The 2,932-nt window shown below is 35.4% G+C and overlaps 1 protein-coding gene across 1 annotated transcript; it reads right to left on the bottom strand.

Annotated features, from left to right (window-relative positions):
* Window positions 1-506: 506 nt before the first annotated feature.
* On the bottom strand, window positions 507-1,451 carry OR5D13 (olfactory receptor family 5 subfamily D member 13). Its single transcript, NM_001001967.1, has one exon. It carries the CDS (start codon window positions 1,449-1,451, stop codon window positions 507-509), a length of 945 nt encoding a protein of 314 aa, NP_001001967.1.
* Window positions 1,452-2,932: the final 1,481 nt, after the last annotated feature.

The raw sequence follows: 2,932 nt of genomic DNA, 5'->3' as shown, positions 1-2,932 counted from the left end.
GAAAGGTAGAGTAATACTTAATTCCATTTCATTTGCTAATCAGCAGGCTATAATTTTCATGAATAAAAATCAACTTCTTCCATTCAAAACAAGAAAAAGTAAAGGGTTGGTTGTTCCACAAGACACAGTAAGCAGAAGTTTTGTTAAAGTCACTCAGGAATATGGTTTTCCTGATTACAATTTTAGGGAACCATCCTGAATCTGCACACATTTAATCAGTTTGAATCAGTTTTGCTTTGAAAATACACATAAAATTACAGAATACCTAGAAAAGTATTTTAAAATAATTTACAAATACTGCAACAGATGATATAAAAGCTTTAGGTTTTAGAATTTTTAGTTACATGTCATTTAGATCTATTTCAAAAGGTTGTGCTGGTGTGAATGTGTCAACTGATAGTCTATTGATTAAATAATTTGAATAATCAATTGCACTGTAAGAGATGGGTAATCTGTAAGATAGTAAATCACTTTTTTCAGAAATAACGTATCTAAGAACATCATATTCAGTGGTAAATCAATTTGGTGACAACTAATTTTTCAAACATGTTATTGATATCTTTGTTCCTAAGGCTGTAGATCAATGGGTTCAGCATTGGAATCGCCACTGTGTAAAACACAGAAGCCACTGTAACTATGAGGCTAGAAGTTTTAGGATTAGGAACACAGTAAAGGAAAAGGATAGTTCCATGGAAGATAGTGATGGCTGTCAGGTGGGAGGCACAGGTGGAGAAAGTTTTCTGGCGCCCACTTGCAGATCGCATCTTCATAATGGTAGTGAAAATAAGCATATATGATGTCAGAATGATAATTAGGCTGCTCACCTCATTGAATATGGCAATAATAAAGCATAGCCTCTGGCTGATATAGGGGTCTGAGTAGGAGGCAGAAACAATTACAGAGTGGTCACAGATAAAATTATTTATGAAGGTAGATTCACAAAACGATAAGTCAAGAAGAAAATATGTGAGTATCAGGGAGCACACTATCCCCCATGTATAGGACCCAGCCACCAGAAGAGCACAGAGCTTCTGAGACATAATAGTGGTATACAGCAAGGGTTTACAAACTGCCACAAAACGGTCATAAGCCATCGCTGCTAACATGAAAGTTTCTGTCACTCCAAAAATGCAAGCAAAACAAAATTGCATGATGCAACCAGAGAAAGAGATGGTTCTGTATTCCACAACCAAGTTCTCCAACAGTTTAGGTGTAACTACAGTGGAAAAACAGAAGTCTGTCAAGGACAAGTGACTAAGGAAAAAGCACATGATTGTATGGAGTTTTGAATTGAGTCTGATGATTATTATCATGCCCAAGTTCCCCACTACAGTGACTGTGTAGACGAACAAGAAAACCAGAAAGAGTGGAACCTGGATTTCTGGGTATTCTGAAAAACCCAAGAGAATAAAAGTGGGTGTGCTGCTTTGATTTCTTTCAGATGCCATCATGATACTTGTTGGATTAAAAGGAAAAAAGTTATTCTTGAAAAGCAGAACTGGATAGGAAAAAAGAGATAGGAAAGAGGCTTCATGTGTTTCTAGGACAAGTGATATAGAACAGTGATTCTCAAAATGTGGTCATCAAACCAGCAGTAGCATCACCTCCTGGGAACTTCCTACTATTGCCAATTCTCCAGCTCCATCAACCTTCTGAACAGAAGCTCTGGGATGAGGCCCACTATTTGTGGTTTAGTCAAGTCTCCAGGTGATTTTGATGCCTGCTAAAGGGCAAAAACCACCACTTACATGGAAAATATACAGTAATCATTCTATTATTGAAAAGTCAGCCATTTTTAGTATGATTGACATAGAACTGAAATATATATTATGACATAAAATCAATTTTTAAAAACTGAGAAGCACAAAGGAAACCTTCTCATGGATCTAAAAATTACACTGAGGATCAAGTAGGTGATTTAGCACCGCCAATGGTGGCACATAAATGTTACTATTTTCTACCTTTGCTGGGCATAACACAGAATTAAATGATTGTAGAATTTAAGAATTTAAATAAACCATAAAATGTATATAGCCTATGCCTTGCACCTAATCCTCAAGAGTTTGCTGTGGAAGCCCATTTCTAAGATGTTTATGTAGCTTCCATTAAAACTTTCATCAATGTACATTGCCTCCTGGAGTGTTTTTATGGGCATTTTGACAATTTGCTGAACTTTTATTATTTTATTAAATAAAGTCAATTAATTAAATTTCCATTACCTGTTCCTTGATGTGCTTTAGGTCACATCTTCTGAGATATACATATATATGTATACATGTATGCACATAATATGTATTCTATATGTGCTAATACAGAATATGTTAGAAAAATAGAAACATCTGTAGTTGTCAAAAATATTTTCATACAAAATATATTCTCTGATACCCTGAAAGTTGTATAATGAAAATTACACATGTTCTTAACCAATAAGAAATAAATAATCTCTCTTTCTTTTTTTTTTTTTTTGAGCTTGAGGCAATTTTATTGAAATTAGTGGTAAGAATGAAAGATTACAGCCAATCTAAAATCAGTGGGCTACATCAAATTATAAACAAAGGTTGTAATCTAGTCATTCAACATGCACTGTTTATATGGAGTTATTTCTATTTATTTATTTTTGTTTGCTTGTTTTTGAGACAGGGTCTCACTCTGTCACCCAGGCTAGAGTGCAGTGGCAAGATCAATGCTCACTGCAGCCTCGAACTCCCAGGCTCAAGTGATCCTCCTCAGTAGATGGGACTACAGGCATGCACCACCACACTAGGATAATTTCTTATTTTTCTCTAGAGACAGGGTCTCACTATGTTGCCCAGGGTGTTCTCAAACTTCTGAGCTCAAGCGGTTATCTCTCTTTCATGATAAGACAAACTTTAAGAAGACAGGGGAGTGAAAATAATAAAACCTAAAGTAAATGGACTTGTTATGAGTGAAA

Source organism: Homo sapiens, chromosome 11 (genome assembly GCF_000001405.40).
Source record: "Homo sapiens chromosome 11, GRCh38.p14 Primary Assembly".
NCBI lineage: Eukaryota > Metazoa > Chordata > Mammalia > Primates > Hominidae > Homo > Homo sapiens.
This window is presented reverse-complemented; position numbering and strand designations above follow the sequence as displayed.